This window comes from Homo sapiens, chromosome X (assembly GCF_000001405.40).
Source record: "Homo sapiens chromosome X, GRCh38.p14 Primary Assembly".
Taxonomy (NCBI): Eukaryota; Metazoa; Chordata; class Mammalia; order Primates; family Hominidae; genus Homo; species Homo sapiens.
Window position 1 is genome coordinate 72597980 of NC_000023.11, and position 20285 is coordinate 72618264.

Sequence of the window (20285 nt, forward strand, 5' to 3'; positions counted from 1 at the left end):
TCATGATTAACAAAAGAAAAAATAGACAAATTGGACTTTGTGGAAATCAAAAATTTTTGTTGTTTGAAGAATACTTAATGGTATTGAGTGAAAAGACAACCCACAGGATGGGAGAAATATTTGCAAATTTTATATCTTAAAAGGGACTTGTATCCAGAATATATAAAGAATCCTTGCAACTCAACAATAAAAAGACAAAAAAAATTAAAATAGGTACAAATGTGAATTGACATTTCTCTAAAGAAGATAAACAAATGGCCATTGGGCACATGAAAAGACACTCAGTATCATTAGCTATTAGGGCAATGCAAATCAAAACCACTACGAGATACCAGTTCACACCCATCAGGATGGCTATAATAAAAAAGACAATTGTAAGGGTTGGTGAAGATGTAAAGAAATTGGAACTCTCATACTCTGCTGGTGGGAATGTAAAATGGTGCAGCCCTTTTGGACATGTCTGGCAGTTCTTCAGAATGCGACACATAGTTACCATATGACCCAGGACTTCCACTCCTAGATATATATCCAAGAGAAGTGAAAACATATGTCCATACAAAAACTTGTGCATGAAGGTTCATTGTAGAATTATTCATAGCAGCCAAAAAGTGGAAACAATCCAGGTGTCCATCAACTGATGAATGGATAAATAAAATGTGGTACATTAATTTAGTAGGATATTATTCAGCAATGAAAAAAATAAACTTTTGATACATGCTAAAACATAATGAACTTTGAAAAACTTATACTAAGTAAAGGATAAAATACATTGGGCAAAGTGGTTAACAGTTTAAATTCAGAAATAAATATAAGATAGAAGATAATAGAAATATTTTCTGAGAAAATAACTTCTCACGTTTTAATTTGGGCCAAATGCCTAAATCACCAACCAATGCAATGTAAAAAAGAAAAGAGCCCCCAAACATTTCTACTGGCAAGTGACTATCGCACTGATCTATTGAGTAGATGAACTGCCATTTAATTATCTTCATTGTCTTGTTTATACCACCAAGATCCTAGGCTGTTGATTGTGAGGTCAAACCAGAAAGGGTATAGATCTGATAAAGTACAATTCAGACTGTTTTCCAAAGCCAAATATCAATCATTTTGAGTTTTTAAATTTTCTTCTATACCCCTGTCCTATGTTAGTGTGGATATGATAGAGTTGGCCAAGTCTTATTAGTTCATTACAGGGTATTTGATTTAGGTTAACCTAAATACTAATATTGTTTCGAATAATTTTCCATTTTTTGTTTGGTAATTGTCTAGCCTAAATCTCTTCAGCTTGAGAAATCTGAAATCATAGGCCATTATGAGTCTTTGATTTAAACCAAATAAATTTAATTAGAGGTCAGTCCTCCTAAATTGTAAGCTTCACGAGGGCAAAGACCACATCCATTTTGTTCACAGTGCCTGGCACAAAACTGGCACTCAATTAATATTTACTAAATGAATTCATAATCAGAAGAAAAGCTAACCCAGTGGCTTTCAAACTTAAAAATGCATCAGAATCATCTAAATAAAACAGATTACTGGGCCTCATCCGCAGTCTTTCTGACTCTGTGTACTTAGGGTGGGACCAAGAATTTATACTTAACCAATACTTAGCAAATTGAATTTTGTTTTCTGAAATCGCAAAGAGGTTGGAGTTGAACTCCCTTCCCTATGTTATTGGAAAATAAATGAAAAGATTCACCCCCATATATGAAATTGCTTTATACTTATTTTAATTCTTGATTAATTTTTTTTTTAATCAACCAGTATATGTCATGATTTATATAAGAGCATATTCAAAGCACATGTGAATGGCATATACGAGAAGATCACAGCAGTTACCATAAAAGACGGTGACATCAAATCTATACCCAGGGGATGACCACCATTGGACTATGAGAACAAATTGAGAAAATAAAATTTTAAAAGATATGAGGCCAGGAAACAATTATTTGTACTTTTAAGTCACTAGTGGAGTAAAAATACAGACTATTTCAGTATGTAGTCAGCACATAATCATTAAAAAGCTGATGAAATAGCTTTACCCTAGAAGCCATGGTGAAGGGAAAAGAAATAAAAATACCCTTATAATTTTTTTTTTCATAATCAGAAAAGAGGGCATTCTTGAGTGATAGGGAAAAAATGGCTTAGAACAATACAAAATACCAGACAGGCAGGTGAGGATGGAAGTTAATATTTAGAAATAAGAAAGTAATGCAAATTTAGGACTCTCAATCCTCTAAATTATAGTCCTAGTGATTTTGGCTCCCTTGAAAACCTATAGGTAGTGAATGTTTAGAAAAAACTTAAATGATGTAGCTGGGTAGATCAAGTCTCAACATCATATTAATGTAGCTGGGAACATGTACTTCAAGTTGTAAATATATAATGAACTTATAAGTAATACTGAGTGACTATCAACAATTATAAAATGTTTATCCAATAACTCTCAACCAAATCAAAGATTATTTACAGATAATGCCAATGTAACTAACTATTCAGTACTGAATGTAGTTCTTTCACGTTTCAAATAGGAAAATATTCAGATTATTCAAATTATTCGAGAAAACTGTAAAGTGAATACAAGGCCCTTTCTTACTCCATTTTCATACTTATTCTTGCATAAATATAAATGCCATAGGGTATTTGATGAGTGTACTCAAGTTACCTCAAATTAAGCTTCAAGCACTGGCTCATTGTCTTCCTAAATGGTTTCTAATTCCTTTTAAAAAAACCAAATAGCAAGGTGGTGGCATGCCTTAGTCCCAGCCACTCTGGTGACTGAGGTAGGAGGATTGCGTGAATCCAGGATTTTGTGCCTGTTAATAGCCACTGCACTCCAGCCTGGACAACATAGTGAGACCCCAGTGCTAAAAAGCTAAAAAAAAGAAACGAAAACTAAAAACAAAACTCCAAATTTCCATTTCACCACTCCTCTTCTGGGGGTTTCAATACTGCAAGCTATCATAATTCTATTCTGAAAACAGGAGTAGTTTTAAGCTTTTCATAAAATGTGCTTCTAGGAGAGGCCAAATCAGTAATTTCTCAACTTGGAGATCTTGAAACCACATGACTTCCTAGAGTTTTAAAAAGAAGCTATGGAAGCTTTTGTTAACTATTTCCTTGTATAAAGCAACCGCTCTCTATTCTCACCTGCAGGAAAAATTAAGAGGCTACAACATGGTATTTAGTGACTCCCACTATCTCCCAGACTGATTTAGATGTTTCTCCCTCTGTGTCCACAGCACCTTTTCTACATCTTGTTAAAGAAAAAATTATTCAATGATACTTGTTAAAGCACGGTAAGGAAGACTTTATTCAGGACCATTGTTAATAGGTACAGAACCATTGCAATGAGGTCTTGCAGTAAGGGAGAGAGATTGGGCTCCCCTCTGAATACAACATAATCAAGTGGGAATTTATAGCCAAGTGGTGGAAAATTACTAAGAGGGAAACATCAGAGGTAGGGAGGATTCTGGCTAAACCATCTTAACAGGATTTTTGCTGAAGACAGGCCAGGGTGATTGGACATCACCTGGGGGTGGTAGAAGATGAGGAGCCTGATCAGATGTCAAGGATGATAAGATATCGAGGATAGGAGTTTCTGGCTAAACTGACTTAGCAGGGTTCTCTTGCTAAAGCTGGATTTTACAAGGAAGTGCACAAATGGGCCTAGGAAAAGGTTGAGAAGCCCACCTAAACTCTGGCCAAGCAAAGACTCTTTGCTTGAAGTCTAAGTCTTGTTTTATAAAGAAAATTAATTCCAAAATTACATCAGTCCTAATAAGAGAAACTTCAATTTCTTATTATCAGATGCAAGTTACTTTCCTTCTAAAATTAACAAAGTACTTTGGTCCAGAAAAAGGAAAGCTATCTGCAAAATGACTGTTATAAAGGCGATTCAAACAATCTACTCCATGACTTGTTATCTTATTTGTAAAAAGGCCATGAGCTCATGCATGTTATACAGAACTAAAGGTAAGTTAAACCATGTTAAATGATCCCTAGTTGTTTCACCTGACTCTCAGCTGAGATTGACAGTCTACGAAATTCCACCTGAAACATAAATGGCTCAAATTAAACTCAGAATGTGAAACAAAATAAATGACCCAACAAAGTCTGATTCCAAAAGAATGTTCTGAAACATGGCAATATCCCAGCTAATCTCCCAGGTAGTATCTTACCTGCTTTATCTCACTTTTTAACTGCATGATCCCAGTTCGTTCTGTTTTGGTTGCTCCAACAGCACCAATCTCGTGGATAGAAATAGCAGGACTGACATTTGAATCAGTGGGACGAACTATGTAGTATGAGAGATTACAGAGAAAGAGAGAGGATAATAAGGTTCAATTTCTTCCCCATCACATTTAAAAAAAACTTTCATATATATCCTTATTTTTAACTTAATTTAAAAACTATAACCTTGCTATTTGAAATGTGGTCCATGGACCAACAGCATCAGTACCACCTACAAGTTTGTTAGTAGAATCTCAGGTCCCACCCCAGATCTACTGAATCAAAATGTGCATTTTAGCAAGATACCCTTCTTGAAACGCACTGCTTTTCAACTTTCTTTTACCACTCTAAGGTCTGACATCCATCCATCTGACCATATATATCTACTTACCCTAACCTTGAAAGTTGAGCATGAGAGATGACCACTTTTCATTTGCTCTGCTGCTTTAGGTACGCAATGCCAAATCCAACCAAAACCACAAATGTAGGTGGACTATTAATTTGTGAGTTTAAAGTTGAAGGGTTACATTAGAAGTACTGTAAGCAGCTATACACATAATACAATACTGTAAGAGCTACTGAATTATTGCCAATTAGAATACAAGAAAGTTTCAGATGATATGGGTTGCTAGTTGTCCTAAAGTGGAGGCTTAAGATAATGTGAGGGAATGCATTAAACAGTTAAAAATGAAACATGATAGTAATCAATCCACTTAGTTGATATACCATTTAAGGAAAAATATAGTGGTTTCCAAATCTTGTTCCAGAAGACAGCTTGGTTTCTGTTTTATATATTGGAGTTTATTTATTTGGGGAAAAAGGTTTCTGTGATGAAGGAAAAACATTTTAAAACCAATGAGACACTTAAACCAAACAGTATGAAATGAAAATGCAGTTATTCAATCTCACCGCTTCGTTCCACTCCAAACTCCTTGCCGCTGAGAATGTGATGCAGGAGATTCTTCATGGCCGAAGGACTGAGATTCATCAGGCCCTCTGTGGCTTCCTCAGCTAGTCAGCAGAAATGTTAGAACAGAAGGACTTCTAATTTGCCTGCCATGCCCTCTCTATATTTTCTCTATTTCTTTTCTTGCTTAGAATTTCTGAGTCACTTGATTGGAAGAACAGAATTACAAAATAAATTGATAGCACCCTACTGCTTAGGTATTCTTACTTCCATAGATTCTTAATTATTTAAGGACTGACTATCCAGTTTGTGGATTAGCGAGGTAATTGATTTCTTCTTCACCCTGCTTCCAGACCATTAGGGTACTTAGTAAAATCTTTATTTGAAGGTGGGAAGAATGAAAGAAGAACAATGGAACTGGAGGCCATTCAGAGAAAGACAATGAATGTATATATGCAGATAAACTAAAATAATTAAAACTTCTCAGCCTGGAAATAATAGAGACTTAAAAGAGATAGATTTGAATCCATGAAATTATGAATATATGAGGATAACTTGAACATGTTAATCAGCATCACACATTTATTAAAAGTAGACTACATGCAGGTCATCATTTTAAGTAACATTTGTGCAAGCAGGTATGACGACATGATACCTAATCTTGAGTCTGACTATCTCTTTGGGAGTGATGGAACATGAAAACAAGATAAACAATAAAACATTGCATATTCTATGTGCCAAATGAGAGGTATAGACAATAATTGCCTTTGAAATCAATGGAGACATCAATCTCCAAGGACTGGAACTGACAAAATTAGTGGGAAGTACTGTGGGAGTAGAAGATAAAGGCCAGACTGTTGAGGGTATTAAACATCAGACCCAGGGATCTTGACTTTATCCTATAAGGAATAAAGAGCCATGGTTTTCATGAATCCACAGGAAAACAAGAAATATAACAGGCTAAATTAAGGAAAAGTGAATATTCAGGGGCTTATCCCTTATTGAGGTTTATTATTGAGCAATCACACTCTCTCGCAAAAAAAAAAACAACATTATACTATATAATGTTTATCTATAACAATGTACTGAACTAGAAATCATTTGCAATCAGGTGGACTCAGACTCAAATTCCACTATTTACTAGCTATGTTGCTTCGGGGAAGTTAGTTAACCTTCTTGAGTTTCAGTTTCTTTATTGGTAAAAGTGACACAATAATACCTTCTTCTCCAGAGGATTCTTGAAAGGATTAAATGACACAATATATGTAAACTTAAAGCAAAAAGCACAGTATCTGGCATATGGTAGGTATAAAACAATTGTTAGCTCTCTTCTGTCAAAGGGTTACTTAAATATAAATTATCTCATGTGTTTGAGTTAGGTTTGACTCAAATTGATAAATTTAGCTACTTGTTAACAGCTTGATTAAAAGTCTTTTGGGGGAAATTTAACAGAAAGAATGGCTAAAATTGAGTTTTACAACTTTGATTTTATTTTTCTATGCCATCCCTATCTGTATTATTTTGCAATTCTTGTTGAAATCAAACAAATACTAATGGAATAAGGAGTCATGTCATAGGGGTCCATTGTTCCCCTTCACACTTTATACCATTTTGCCCTACAGCTTTCACAGGCTCCAACTATTCTTCTAACTAAAACTTTTATCTTGCCAAATACACCTATAGTTAATTTCAAAGAGAGTCTTGTCAGATAGATGTTAATGAAAATGTCATCTTCCTTTATTCAGTCATGATGGTGACTAGACAGAATACTGACACCATGATCCACTGATGTAGTGACTCATTCTTGGTGTACAGACGCTCCACTGCCTAAATCTTAACCCAACTCTGTCTGTCACACTCAAATACTCTCCAGAGTTAGAGAAATGAAGTTAGCAACGAGTGATAAGTCAAGAGGGATTTGGAGTGAAGAGCCCACAGGAGATGGCATTCTGAAGCTGCGAACTGATACACAAATGTGTCATCATATCAGCTCCTTGACTTGCATAAATAGTGACCAACAGGGGAACAAGGTTGCCATATCCAGCTTCTGAGCTATGGATAAAAATGTTTTAGCTTTCTTTCTTTCCTTATTCCAAACTCTATAAACTTACATCAAAAGTGAATTCCACCTAAAATAGTTACTGAATTAAGTACCTGAGCATCGAAGGGAGTGGGCCAGTTCTGTTGCCATAACTTGTATGATCAGACCAATTCGAAGTCGAAACATTTCAGCAAAGAGGCCAGGCTGGGTTCGCATATACATGGCTAGATATACCATTATTTCCTGCACACAGAGTAGATATAGACAAAAATAATGGCCTAGGTCTCACAATGCCTATTTTGTTGTCTTTGGAAATTGCTAGATCAATTGAAAACAAACTTTAAAATATCAGTCACCAGATTAGCCTTTACAATTCTTCTCACCTGTGTAAGGATTGAAATGCTCATATCCCCTTCACTGGCTTCATCTATCAGCTGAGTGAGCGCCTCATAGGGCAGAGGTCTAAGGAAAAAGACAGCAAAGAAAGACAATATTCTACAACCACTTAATCTTAAATATGTTGAAAAAATGAAGAAGCTTTATCCAAGTCCAAGTCACTGCCTCAACATTTCATCATTACCAATAGCATTCTGATTCTTTCAAACTTCAAAGCTCATTCATTGCCTCCTGAAACCACTCTGGCCCATATCAACTTAGAGGAGCTCTGCTCTCTTCTCTCTAAATCTGGATTCTCTTCCTCCTTCAAAATTTATTTAAAACTCACACCATGATGTTCTTCTAGACTAGTCTTTCATAGTTAGCTTTGAACATTTGACAAGTAACTATTATGGCTACAAAGTACTAAATTAATTTTAAGCTGTGCTTTTTTTGTAATACACAATGTTTCTACATATTTACAGGGTACATGTGATGTTTTGTTACATACATAGGATGTGTAATGATCAAGTCAGGGTATTTACGGTATCCATCACCTTGAGCATTTACTATTTCTTTTGGCTGGGAACATTTCAAGTCCTCTCTTCTAGTTATTTTGAAATATACAATACATTGTTGTTAACAATAGTCACCCTACTCTGCTACTGAACATTAGAATGTATTCCTTCTTTAACCAACATCTCTTCAGCATCCCACCCCTACAATGGAATACTAGCTGTGCCTTTTTGAAGCCATTTTATTACTTTACAATCACAGTTGACAGAGTTGTTTGATTTTCTATAGTTTCAATTCACACACATGCACACACACACACACACACACACACGTATACACACATCCTCACACACTTCTGATTCTCCTGCTGACACAAAGCACTCTGGGGCATGAACCATGCCATCTTCTTTGGATTACCTACAGTGTCACAAAACTGATACAAAAAAGATTGTTTTTCCAGAAGCAAGATTTTATGGATTGAATTATGTCCTCTCCTCAAATTCTTTTCTTTAAATTTTTTTTTAATTTTTAATTTTTGTGGGTCTATAGTGGTGTATATATTTCTGGGGTACATGAGATTTTTGATACAGGCATTCAACATATAATAATCAAATCAGGGTAAATGGGGTATCCATCTCATCAAGCATTTATCTTTTGTGTTACAAACAATCCAATTACACCCTTTCAGTTATTTTAAAACGCACAATTAAATTATTTTGACCATAGTCTCCCTATTGTGCTATCAAATACAAGATCTTATTCATTCTCTCCAACTACTTTTTGTACCCATTAACCATCTCCACCCCCAACGCCCATAAACCCTGCTACCCTTCCCAGTCTTTTGGTAACCATCATTCTACTTTCTATCTCCATGAGTTCAATTGTTTTGATTTTTAGTTCCCACAAATCAGTGAGAACATGTGAACTTTGTCTTTCTGTGTCTGACTTATTTCACTTAACATAATGACCTCCAGTTCCATCCATGTTGTTACAAATGACAGGATCTCATTTTTTTTGTGTCTGAATAGTACTCCCTTGTGTATATGTACCATATTTTCTTGATCTATTCATCTACTGATGGACACTTAGGTTGCTTCCAAATCTTGGTTATTGTGAATACTGATGAAATAAACACAGGAGTGCAGATATCTCATCAATATACCGATTTCCTTTCTTTGGGTATATACCTAGCAGTGGGATTGCTGGATCATATGGCAGCTCTATTTTTAGCTTTTTTCAGGAACCTCCAAATTGTTCTTCATAGTAGTTGTACTAATTACATTCCTACCAACAATATATGAGGGTTCCCTTTTCTCCACATCCTTGCCAGCATTTGTTATTGCCTGTCTTTTGGATAAAAGCCATTTTAACTGGGGTGAGATGATACTTCACTGTAGTTTTGATTTGCATTTCTCTGATGATCAATGATGTTGAGCACCTTTTCATATGCCTGTTTGCCATTTGTATGTCTTCTTTTGAGAAATGTCTATTCAGACCATTTGCCCATTTTTAAAACAGACTATTAGATTTTTTTCCCTATAGAATTGTTTGAGCTCCTTATACATTCTGGTTATTAATCCCTTATCAGATAGGTAGTTGGTAAATATTTTCTCCCATTGCACCTTTCCAATTTGCTTTAAATGCTGAATGACTGACTGTAGAATGGTCGATGCTGAGTTCTTCGGCAATTTCTCATGCAGTTTTAAGAGGATCAGCTTCAACAACTGCTCTCAATTGGTCGTTGTCAACTTTCAATAGCAGGCCACTATGCTCCTCATCTTCAAGGCTCTCATCTCCTTTGCAAAACTTCTTGAACCACCACTGCACTGTACATTTGTTAGCAGTTCCTAGGCCAAATGCCAGGCCTGTAATCCGGGACCTCAAAAACCTGCTTGGTGCTCTACCCCACTGTGGCCAACCTGGTACCTAAGCTGCAAGAAAAAGTCCCCTTTACTCTTCCCTCTCCTTTTCTTAAGCAGAAGGAGTCTCTCCCTATACCCACCACGGCTGGGCATGTGTTTGGTCACACTTGGAACCAGAATGTCTGGTCACTGTGCTGATTGTTCAGGTCCCAAGGGCTGTTTAGTCAGCACGTGATAAATCCTGCCAAAACTGGGTACTTCTCTTCAAAGTAGCAGGTTCCCTTCTGGTGCAAGGTATGTGTCAAAATGTCATCCAGGAGCTACGGACTGGAATGGGAGTCTGATGCCTCTGCCTGGTGCCCTATCCTACTGTGGCTGAGCTGGTATCCAACTTGCAAGATAAAGTCCTCTTTACTATTTCCTCTCCTCTCCTCAGTGGAAGGAAGGATTCTCTCCCAGAGTTGCACTATCTGGAGTTGGAAGAGGGGTGGCACAAGCACTCCTTTGCCCACTCTAGCTGATGTCTCACTAGGCCGCATGCACCCCAAGTCCATTGGCTTCGAGTCCAGCATAGCACAAGGATTTGCCCAGGAATTGCAGTCCTTGTGGCCTAGACTGCTTTTTGAGTCTATTTAGTACCCAGAGCACTTTAAGCCCGCGGTGGTGAAGCTTGCTGGAACTTTTGTTTCTCTAAGCCTTCATATGGGAGCTTGAACTGGAACTCAAGGGTAACAGAAATCATGGACATAAACCAGGAAGGAAGGAGTATGCAGACATCAGCAAAAGTATCCCTTCTGTAGCCAATGTAGTAAAAAAAATTTTGTAAACAAAAAACATGCTCTGGATAGAGTTTAACCAGGAAAAAATGAGGGAGAAATATTGACAAAAGTTTTTTTTTAACTACATTGGCTACAGAAGTAGAACTGGCAAGCAGGGGGGAATACCCTTTTTAAAAATTACTCCTAGTAGAAAAACAGATTCTTCAGATCATTTATGAATGAAGTTAGAATCTCTCTAAAAATATTTCTTGGAGATACAGACTGTTTGCAAGATTTAAATTTTGGCACTGGTGTGATATGAAATTAAACACATTTACTGCAGATGAATTTTACTGGCATGGCCAATGGCAAAAGGAAGACTCATGTATAAAGACTGAATTTTCCATCCCAGCCCCATCACTTGACTTACATCTCCCTCCAGGCCAAGCCTATCTTAGGGTACTGTTTCCAATTGGAGGCTGTGGCAGACCTCAGACAGTGGCACTCTGATTACAGGGTTCCTGGAGGGGTGCTACCTCACATTGCTCTGTAAGTAACCATTTTTCCTCTTTGACTATGACCTCCATCCCCTTTATTCCCCATGAGCAGCATGGAGTTTCATGGTCAGCCCTGTGCTCTAGCCACTTTCTTTCACTTGCTCTTTCCAGAGTATGGCTGACATTTTGTGGTTGCTAATTCAGGGTACCCTGTTTGTTTTGTTTTTTGAATGGCAGGTATGGAAAATCCAACAAGTAAAAAGAGTTTGAGTACTACTCTGTGAGTTTTCTCCTTCATTTACTCTTGCCCTACCATTACCAACATTCTTCCACTAGGTGTCTCTGATAGAGGTGAACATATGTAGGACATTATCATCCACTGACAGATTAGGGCAAGGGAATTCTAAGTCCACACCACTCCTTCTCAGAGAAGCCTGACCAAACCCAGCCATACTCACGCAGAGATAGTCTTTTCTCGAGGTTCTGGAGGAAGTCCTACTGTCAAATGTTTCTGGTGGGAGAGAAGGTCTGTGCAGGCCTAACAAGAGATAGCATAATATTATCGTTTCTGTAACACCTCAGGTTTCCACAAACATTTCTCTTTTCAGCTGAAAAACCTTTGCTCCTCTTTAACATAATGACACACTGAACTCTCTTCCTCAGAAAATACCATGAAGATCAGAAAAGAAGGATTTCTAGGAAGAAACAATGAGGTCTTTTCATCTATCTCCTAGAAAGTAGGAACTTTTTTGTTTGGTTGGTTTATGGGGTTTTTTTCTTTCTTTTTAAAAAATTTGTTTAAATTTTTAAGTTTTCAATTTTTATGGATAAATAAGAGTTATACATATTTATGGAGTACATGTGATATTTTCATACAAGCATACAACATGTAATGATCAAACCTGGGTAATTGAGACATCCATCACCTCAATATTTATCATTTCTTTGTGTTGGCAAGATTCCAAATCTGCTCTTCTAGTTACTTTGAGATTTACAACAAATTATTGTAAACTATAGTCACCCTATTGTGACACCAAATACTAGATCTTATTCCTTCAATCTAGTTGTATTTTCATGCCCATTAACTAAACTTTCTCTATCCCCCACTCCCGACTACCCTTCCCAGCTTCTAGTATCCATCATTCTACTCTCTACCTCTATGAGATCAACTTTTTAAGCTCGCACATATGAGTGAGAACATGTGGTATTTGTCTTTCTGTGCCTGGGTTATTTCACCTAACATAGTGCCCTCCAGTTCCATTCATGTTACTGTAAATGACAGGGTTTTACTATTTTTGATGCAGAATAATATCCAATTGTGTATATATACCACATTTTCTTTATCTGCTCATCTTCTGATGGACATTTAGGTTTATTCCATACCTTTGCTATTGGGAATAGTGCTACAATAAACATGGGAGTTGTAGATATCTCTCCCATATACTGATTTCCTTTCTTTTTGATATATACCCAGCAGTTGGACTGCTGGATCCCATGGTAGTTCTACTTTTAGTTTTTTGATGAACCTCCATAGTGTTTTACATAAGTAGCTATACTAAGTTCCATTCCCACTAATGGTGTATGGATGTTTCCCTTTCTAGGAGGTAGGAACCTAGTGTAAATTCATTCTTAAGATATAGAATTCTTAATATCATTATAAAGATGTTATGGTTTATAACATTTTATAAATCTACAATTCTTACTTGTCATTCACAAACTAAAAGAACTGAATATCAAATTTTATGTGGAAAAGACATCTCAAATGGTTAGAGGCTATGGTTGTTTTAAAAAACAATTATAGAAACCAATTTTTAAAAAGCACGCTTATTTAGATTTGGTATAAATTCAAGAATTTATAGTACCTCATCAAGTGCTTCCACTTTCTTCCTTAAGATCCCAGAAATGTATCGGATCAGGCCCCAGTGACGAATTTCTCCCACTTTGCCATACAGCTCGGTAAGAAGCTCTCTCACTGTAGCACTCCGTTCATTATACAATTCAGTGTTCCAGTCAGGTCCTCTAGAATTTTAACGACAGGACTACATCAGTTTTAAGTAAAGCTTCTGGCAATCATCTTTTCTTTCAGTGTTATAATGAACATGCCTGTTTTTGATAGGTCTCTCTCACTAGGAAATCAATGTAATTTACTAAGAATCCTTATAAAACTATGATTAACAGTCAGCTCTGAAAGCCAGTACCTACACAAGAATAAGTCTTAGTTTTAGCTGTGCTTTTGACAAAATGCATTCTTTTACCCTATTCATGGGCTTCAATATAGTTGAAATTAAAGACAAAGATTTAACAAATGAATTATTTCAAAAATCACTGTAAGGAAAGTCATATGACAAATTACCAACTAGGAAAAAATGTTTGCAATTCATAGGATAATTTCCCTTATATATAAAGAACTCCAACATGTAGATTTAAAAAATTAAAAACAAAAGAAAATCTGGCAAAACAAATACTGCTGGCAAAACAAATACTGCTGGCAAAACAAATAGATGGCTTTTAAAGATAGGAAAAGGTGCTCAACCTCACTCCTAGAAAAACTTTAACTTAGCACTATACCAAGATAACATTTTTAACCTATCAGATTGTCAAAAGTCCCTAAAGTTGATAACACTATTTTGGTGAGGCTTTGAGAAAACAGGCACCATCAATATGCTGCTGATCGGAATAAAAATTGGACAATTCCTTTGGAGAGCTATTTGGAAATATATATCAGTATTGAAAATATTTAAAAACAGCCTGGCAATTCCTAACATGGTTAAATGCAGAATTACCATATAATCCAGCATTTCCACTACTAGTTATACAGTCAATAGAAATAAAAACATATGTCCACATTAACTTGTACATGAATGTTTATACCAGCATTATTCATAATAGCCAAAAAGTAGAAAGAACCCAAATGTCCATCATCTGATGAATGGATAAATAAGATGTGTTATATTTATACAGGATATAATATCTGGCAATAAAAGAATGAAGTACTGATACATGTTACAACACGGATGAATCTTGAAAATATCATGTTAAATGAAAGAAGCCTGTCATAAAGGACCACATATTGCAAGACTCAATTTATATAAAATGTCCCAAGCAAACAAATCTATACAGACAGAATGTAGATTAGTGGCTGCCTAGGGCTGGGGGAATGGAGGGATTGGGGGTTGATGGATAAAGGAAGTGGGGCTTCTTTTTGGGGTAATGCAAATGTTCTAAAATGAGTAGTGGTGAAGAATGCACAACAATGTGAATACATTCAAAGCCATTTAATTGTACAGTTAAAAAATACCTATTTTTTGATCTATCAATTCGAGTTCTGGTTTACTTGCATGATAAATTTCACACACGTGAAATGCTGTATGCTATGAGGGTACTTGCCATAGCATTTTTGTGATTGTGAATTCTGGCAACAATTCAAATGTTCATCAATAAGAGGCTGGCTAAGTAAATTATGATATATTCAAATAATGGAATGACACAATTATTCAGAAAATATGAAGTAGATCTAGATTGTGGTAATATATTTTCAACAATAGCTGCAACAATTTCCTATCCAACCTACTCTTCTTACAATGTGACTCTCGCACTCCTCCCATGAAGAGATGAGTTCTGTGTTCCCTTCCCTTGAACCCAGGCATGCTTGTGATTAAGGCAAAAGTGACTTACCTAATTTCTGAGGCTAGGCTATACAAAGTAATAGAGCTCCCAGCTGGGACACTTACTAGTAGAACCTAGTCATCATGCTGTGAAGATGTGGAGAGACACATGAGGAGGTCATCTGTGGGTGTACCAGCTGTAGGTAACCTCAGCTGAGGTTCTAGCCAACAGCCAGTATCAACCCCTAGACATATGAGTGGGCAAGCATTGTGAAGATTCCAGCCCCAGAAATTGTTGACCAAAACTAAATGAGAGACCTCAGGTGAGAACTGCCTGGCTGAACACAGGCAAGTCCCAGAACTGTGAAAGATAATTTAAAAATTTTTAAATTTTTGTTATTTTAAGCTACTGAGTTTCAGAGTGATTTGTTATGAAGCAATAGATAATTGGAATATATATGTAGTTATCATCAAGATATATAGTTTTAGTGAAAGAAAGCAAGGTAGAGCTGTGTGTATACTATGCTACCTTTTGGATAAATAGGGGTAAAATTATCCCCATATATGTCTGTGTTTACCTACATATCCATAAATGTCCATGGGAGGATACACACACACACACACACACACACACACACAACACTGACTGCCCATGAGAAGGGGAACAGGGTATCTGGGGGAACAGAGATGGGAGAAAGACATTTTACCCTCTCACTGTATATTCTTTTGTACTTAAAAATTTTTGAACCATAGGAATATATCTATTCAATATATTAAATTAAAAAACATGAAATAAAATGTGCTATAGGAAGAGTCATTAATGGATGAAAAATATCAGTGAGCAAAAGTTTGAAGAGTAACCGTATATTTACGTAGTCTCAAAGTACATCTCTACAGGATACTTTTTTAATTACAAAAGATGACATAATAACTTTACAGTGTAGGTACATGGAAGAATCTACCTTAACCAAATGATCCAACCAAGCGATCAAAGTTTACAGTATCAGCAATGGGACTAATCAACACTATGATATGACACATGGAAAAGAACTTGGCATTACCTTAGTAATGTATAATCTGAATTTAATCATGACAAAACAACACATAAACTGAAATTGAGGGATATTCTGCAAAATAACTGGTTTGTATTCCTCACAAATGTTAACAACATGAAAAATGAAGACTCAGGAACTGTTCCAGATAAATGGAGACTCAAGACACCTGAGAACTCAATAAAATTCATGATTTTAGATGTTCTTTTCTATAAAGACACTATTGGGCTATATGACAAATCTTAATAGTATCTGTAGATAGTTAATAGTATTGGTTTAATGTTAAACAATTCCTTGACTTTGGCAATTATACTGTGCTTATGTAGGAGAGTTCATAATTTTTCAGAAATAAACACTGAATTATTTAGGGTTAGATGGGGATCGTGTCTGCCACTTACTCTCAAATGGTTCAGAAAAAAATAATATGCGTGTGTGATTGAGTATAGATGATGACATCAACGTGAAAGAGAGAGAGAGAGAGATTAAAAGCTCAGTGGAAACATCTGATGGATCTGAAGGAGGGCTATCCAGAATTTTTATTGTACTATCCTCACAACTTTTCTCCAAGTCTGACACTGTCAAATTTTAAAGATATGAAAAAAGTGCTATGAGATCTCAGAATCAGTGGAAGATTATTTTTACTATTACAGATTGGAGGAAGTTTCATGTGGGTGACAGATGACCTAGGCCTTGACAGAGAGAAATGCAAGAAGTAGAAATGGAGTGTGGTAAAGGAGAATATTCTAGGCAGAAGAAAAAATAAGAATCAAGGTATGAAGGTAGGCATGTAGAGGCTGTGCTTTGGGTATGATAAATAGACTGTTTTGGTGACAGCATTCACATTGTAAGGGAAGAGCAATGGTAAATAAAAGTTGAAAGTCAAATCATAGAGGATTTAGATTTGGCCAATGATTCCCTGTGGTAGTGTTGATGCTGTAGCGAGAGGCAGGGGATGGGGAGGAATTGAAGACAATGACACAATTTCAAGTCTGGGTTACTTGAAGGAATGATGATACCCAGAATAGAGTCAGGAAAGACAACAGCAGTAGGTTTGTAGTAAAGACAGTGAATTTGACTTTAGACATGTTCAATAGGAAGATATATATTTGAAAATAAATTCTACTCCAAATAAGACTATGTCACAACCTATTATAATAAAAATGTCAAAGATCAAAGACAAAGAGAGAATTCTGAAAGCAGTGAGAAAAAAGAAGCAAATAACATATAAGGGAATCTTAATAAGCCTAACGGCAGACTTCTCAGCAGAACCCTTATAGGCCAGGAGATAGTGAGATGAGGTATTCAACGTGCTGAAGGGAAAAAACTGCCAGCCAAGAATACTTCAGAAATGAAGAAGACATAGACTTTTCCAGACAAACAAAAGCTGAGGAAATATATAACCATCAGACCTGTTTTACAAGAAATGCTAAAGGGAGTTCTTCAAGATGAAAGAAAAAGACATTAATGAATAATATGAAAACATCTGAAGATATATGTCACTGAGTACACAGTCATATGAATACTCTATTAATCTAACGATGGTGTGTAAATTACTTACATCTTTAGTATGAAGGTTAAAAGACAAAACCATTAAAAATAGTAACTACAATAATTTGTTAGGGGATATGCAATATAAAAATTTTAAATTGTGACATCAAAAACTCAAAATGTTGGGAGGTTGAGTTAAAGAGATTTTTCTTCTCTTTTACTGTAATCATAGTTAAATTGTTAAGATTTTTTGTAAGCCTCATGGTAACCACAATGCAAAAACATATAATAGATATGCTAAAAATAAAAAGCAAAAAATCAAAACATATTATGAAGGAAAATCACTTAGCCATAAAGACAGATAGTAAGAGAGAAATAAAAAAGGAAGGAAGGAAGGAAAGAAGGAGGGGGGAAGGAAGGAAGGAAGGAAAGAAGGAGGGGGGGAAGGAAGGAAGGAAGGAAGGAAGGAAGGAAGGAAGGAAGGATTGATTCTACAAAACAACTGGAAAACAATTAATTAAATGGCAGTAGTAAGCCCTTACCTACCAATAATTACCTTTAATGTGAGTTGATTAAATTATCCCATTAAAAAGCAGAGTAGCTTAATGAATAAAAAAAGCCAAGAGCCAACTATATGCTGCTTAAAAGAGATTCACTCCACCTGTGAGGACATACATGGACTAAAAGTGAGCGGATGGAAAAAAGATATTCCATGCAAATGGAAAGCAAAAGACAACAGACGTAACTCTACTTGGATAAAACAGACTTTCAGGGCCAGGTGCTGTGGCTCACACCTGGAACTCCCAGCACTCTGGGAGGCTGAGGCAGAAGGATGGCTTGAGCCCAATAGTTTGAGACCAGCCTGGGCAACATGGCCAGACCCCAGCTCTGCAAAAAAAAATTAAAAATCAGCTGGCCATGGTGGCATGCACCTGTGGTCCCAGCTACTCAGGAAACTGAAGTTGGAGGGTCACTTGAGCCCAGGAGTTTGAGACTACAGTGAGCCATGTTCATGGCACTACACTCCAGCCTGGCTGACAGAGCAAGACTGTCTTAAAAAAATAGACTTTAAGTAAAACACTAAAAAGTGATATAGAAGGTCACCATATAATGATAAGGGGGATCAGTTAAGCAAGAGGATTCAACTATTGTAAATGTATATGCACCCAACATTGGAGCACCTAAGTATATAAAGCAAATATTAACATACCTAAAGGAAGAGATAGACTACAATACAATAATAGTACGGGCCTTCAACAGCCCATTTTCAGTAATGGACAGATCACATAGACAGAAAATCAACAAACAAACATTGGATTTAAACTGCACACTAGACCAAATGGACCTAATTGATATTTACAGAACATTCCATCCAAAAGCTACAGAATACACATTATTCTCAACTTTACATGGAACATTCTGCAGGGTAGATTATATACTAGGCTACAAACAAGTATTAATGAATTGAAGAAGATCAAAATCATATCAAGTATCTTTTCTGATCACAATGATATAAAACTAGAAATCAATAACAGGAGAAACCACAGAAACTTTACAAATACAAGGAAATTAAACATGCTCCTAAACAACCAAGGGGTCACTGAACAAATTAAGAAGGAAATTACAAAAATTTCTTTTGGCAAATGAAAAGGAAATGCAACATACCAAAAGATATGGGATACAGAAAATGCTATTCTAAGAGAGATGTTTATAGCAATGAATGCATATATCAAAAAGTATAAAGGTCTAAAATAAACAACATAATGTTACACCTAAAGTAACTAGAAAAACAAGAACAAACTAAACCCAAAATTAGTAAAAGGAAGAAACAATAAACATCAGAGTGGAAATAAATAAAACAGAGACTAAAAAAGCAATACAAATGATTAACAAAATGAGAAGTTGGTTTTTTTGAAAAGATAAACAAAAATCAACAAAGATTTGGCTAGACAAAGAAAAAAAGAAAGAATACCCAAATAAATAAAATGAGAGATGAAAAGGAGATATATAGCCTGGGTAACATAGTAAGACCTCATTTCTATAAATAATTAAAAAAACATTTAGCCGGACATGGTGGCACGCACCTGTGGTACCAGCTACTCAGGAGGCTGAGGTGGGAGGATCACTTGAGACTGGGCAGTGAAGGCTGCAGTGAGCCATGATGATGCCACTGCACTCCAGCCTGGGCAACAGAGCGAGACCTCACTTCAAAATCAAAAAAAGAAGATGAGATATAACTGATACCACAGAAATTAAAAGAATTGTTAGAAACTGTTATGAACAATTATATGCCAACAAGTAGGAAACCCTAGAAGAAACGGATAAATTTGTGAACACATACAATCTACCAAGATTGAAGTATGAAGAAACAGAAAATCTGAATAGATCAATAACAAAGGAGATTGAATCAGTAATAAAAAGTCTCCCATCAAAGGGAAGCCCAGGACCAGATGGTTTCACTGCTGAATTGTACCAAATATTTAGAGAACTAATACTAATTCTTTTCAAACTATTCCAAAAAATAAAAAAAATAAAAAAAAAAAAGGAAAAGGGGAGAGTTCTTCCGAACTCATTTTATGAGGCCAGCATTACCCTGATACCAAAACCAAACAAGGACACAACAAAAAAAGAAAACTAGAAGCCAGTGAGAATGCTCATCCTGTAATGATTATAAAACCCCCAATTTAGTCTCCTTTCCCTGGGCTCTCAAGCCTTTTTGGGAGCAAGCTGGGAACCTTCTTTGCTCTTCCTAGAAAGCCTTATTATGTGAGTAATAAATATTCCACACCTTCTTGGTATGTGTATGTCACCATCTATCTCAACATCCAAACCAAATTTAGGGGAAGAAAGTCCATCCTGCCTCTTCATGGTGACTACAACATGGAAAAGGAGGGAGAACAGATTATTTTTGTGTAAGCTTGTGGGGTTTAGGAGAGAGGAGTTCAATTTGGACA

General features: G+C 36.1%; 1 protein-coding gene across 8 annotated transcripts in view; it reads right to left on the reverse strand.

Annotated features, from left to right (window-relative positions):
- Positions 1–20285, reverse strand: part of PHKA1 (phosphorylase kinase regulatory subunit alpha 1) — a 135493-nt gene that overhangs the window by 19166 nt on the left and 96042 nt on the right. For 4 of the 8 annotated variants that reach the window (NM_001440788.1, NM_001440787.1, NM_001172436.2 and 1 more), the window contains 6 exons: positions 13049–13205; positions 11645–11724; positions 7562–7640; positions 7292–7421; positions 5140–5241; positions 4179–4294 (listed from right to left, as the gene is read on the reverse strand). In NM_001440788.1, the coding sequence (NP_001427717.1) occupies positions 4179–4294; positions 5140–5241; positions 7292–7421; positions 7562–7640; positions 11645–11724; positions 13049–13205 (664 nt within the window). Of the gene's footprint in view, positions 1–1836; positions 1888–4011; positions 4051–4178; positions 4295–5139; positions 5242–7291; positions 7422–7561; positions 7641–11644; positions 11725–13048; positions 13206–20285 lie in introns of all 8 variants that reach the window. The other 4 variants (XM_047442160.1, XM_006724661.3, NM_002637.4 and 1 more) reach the window with 2 other exon arrangements.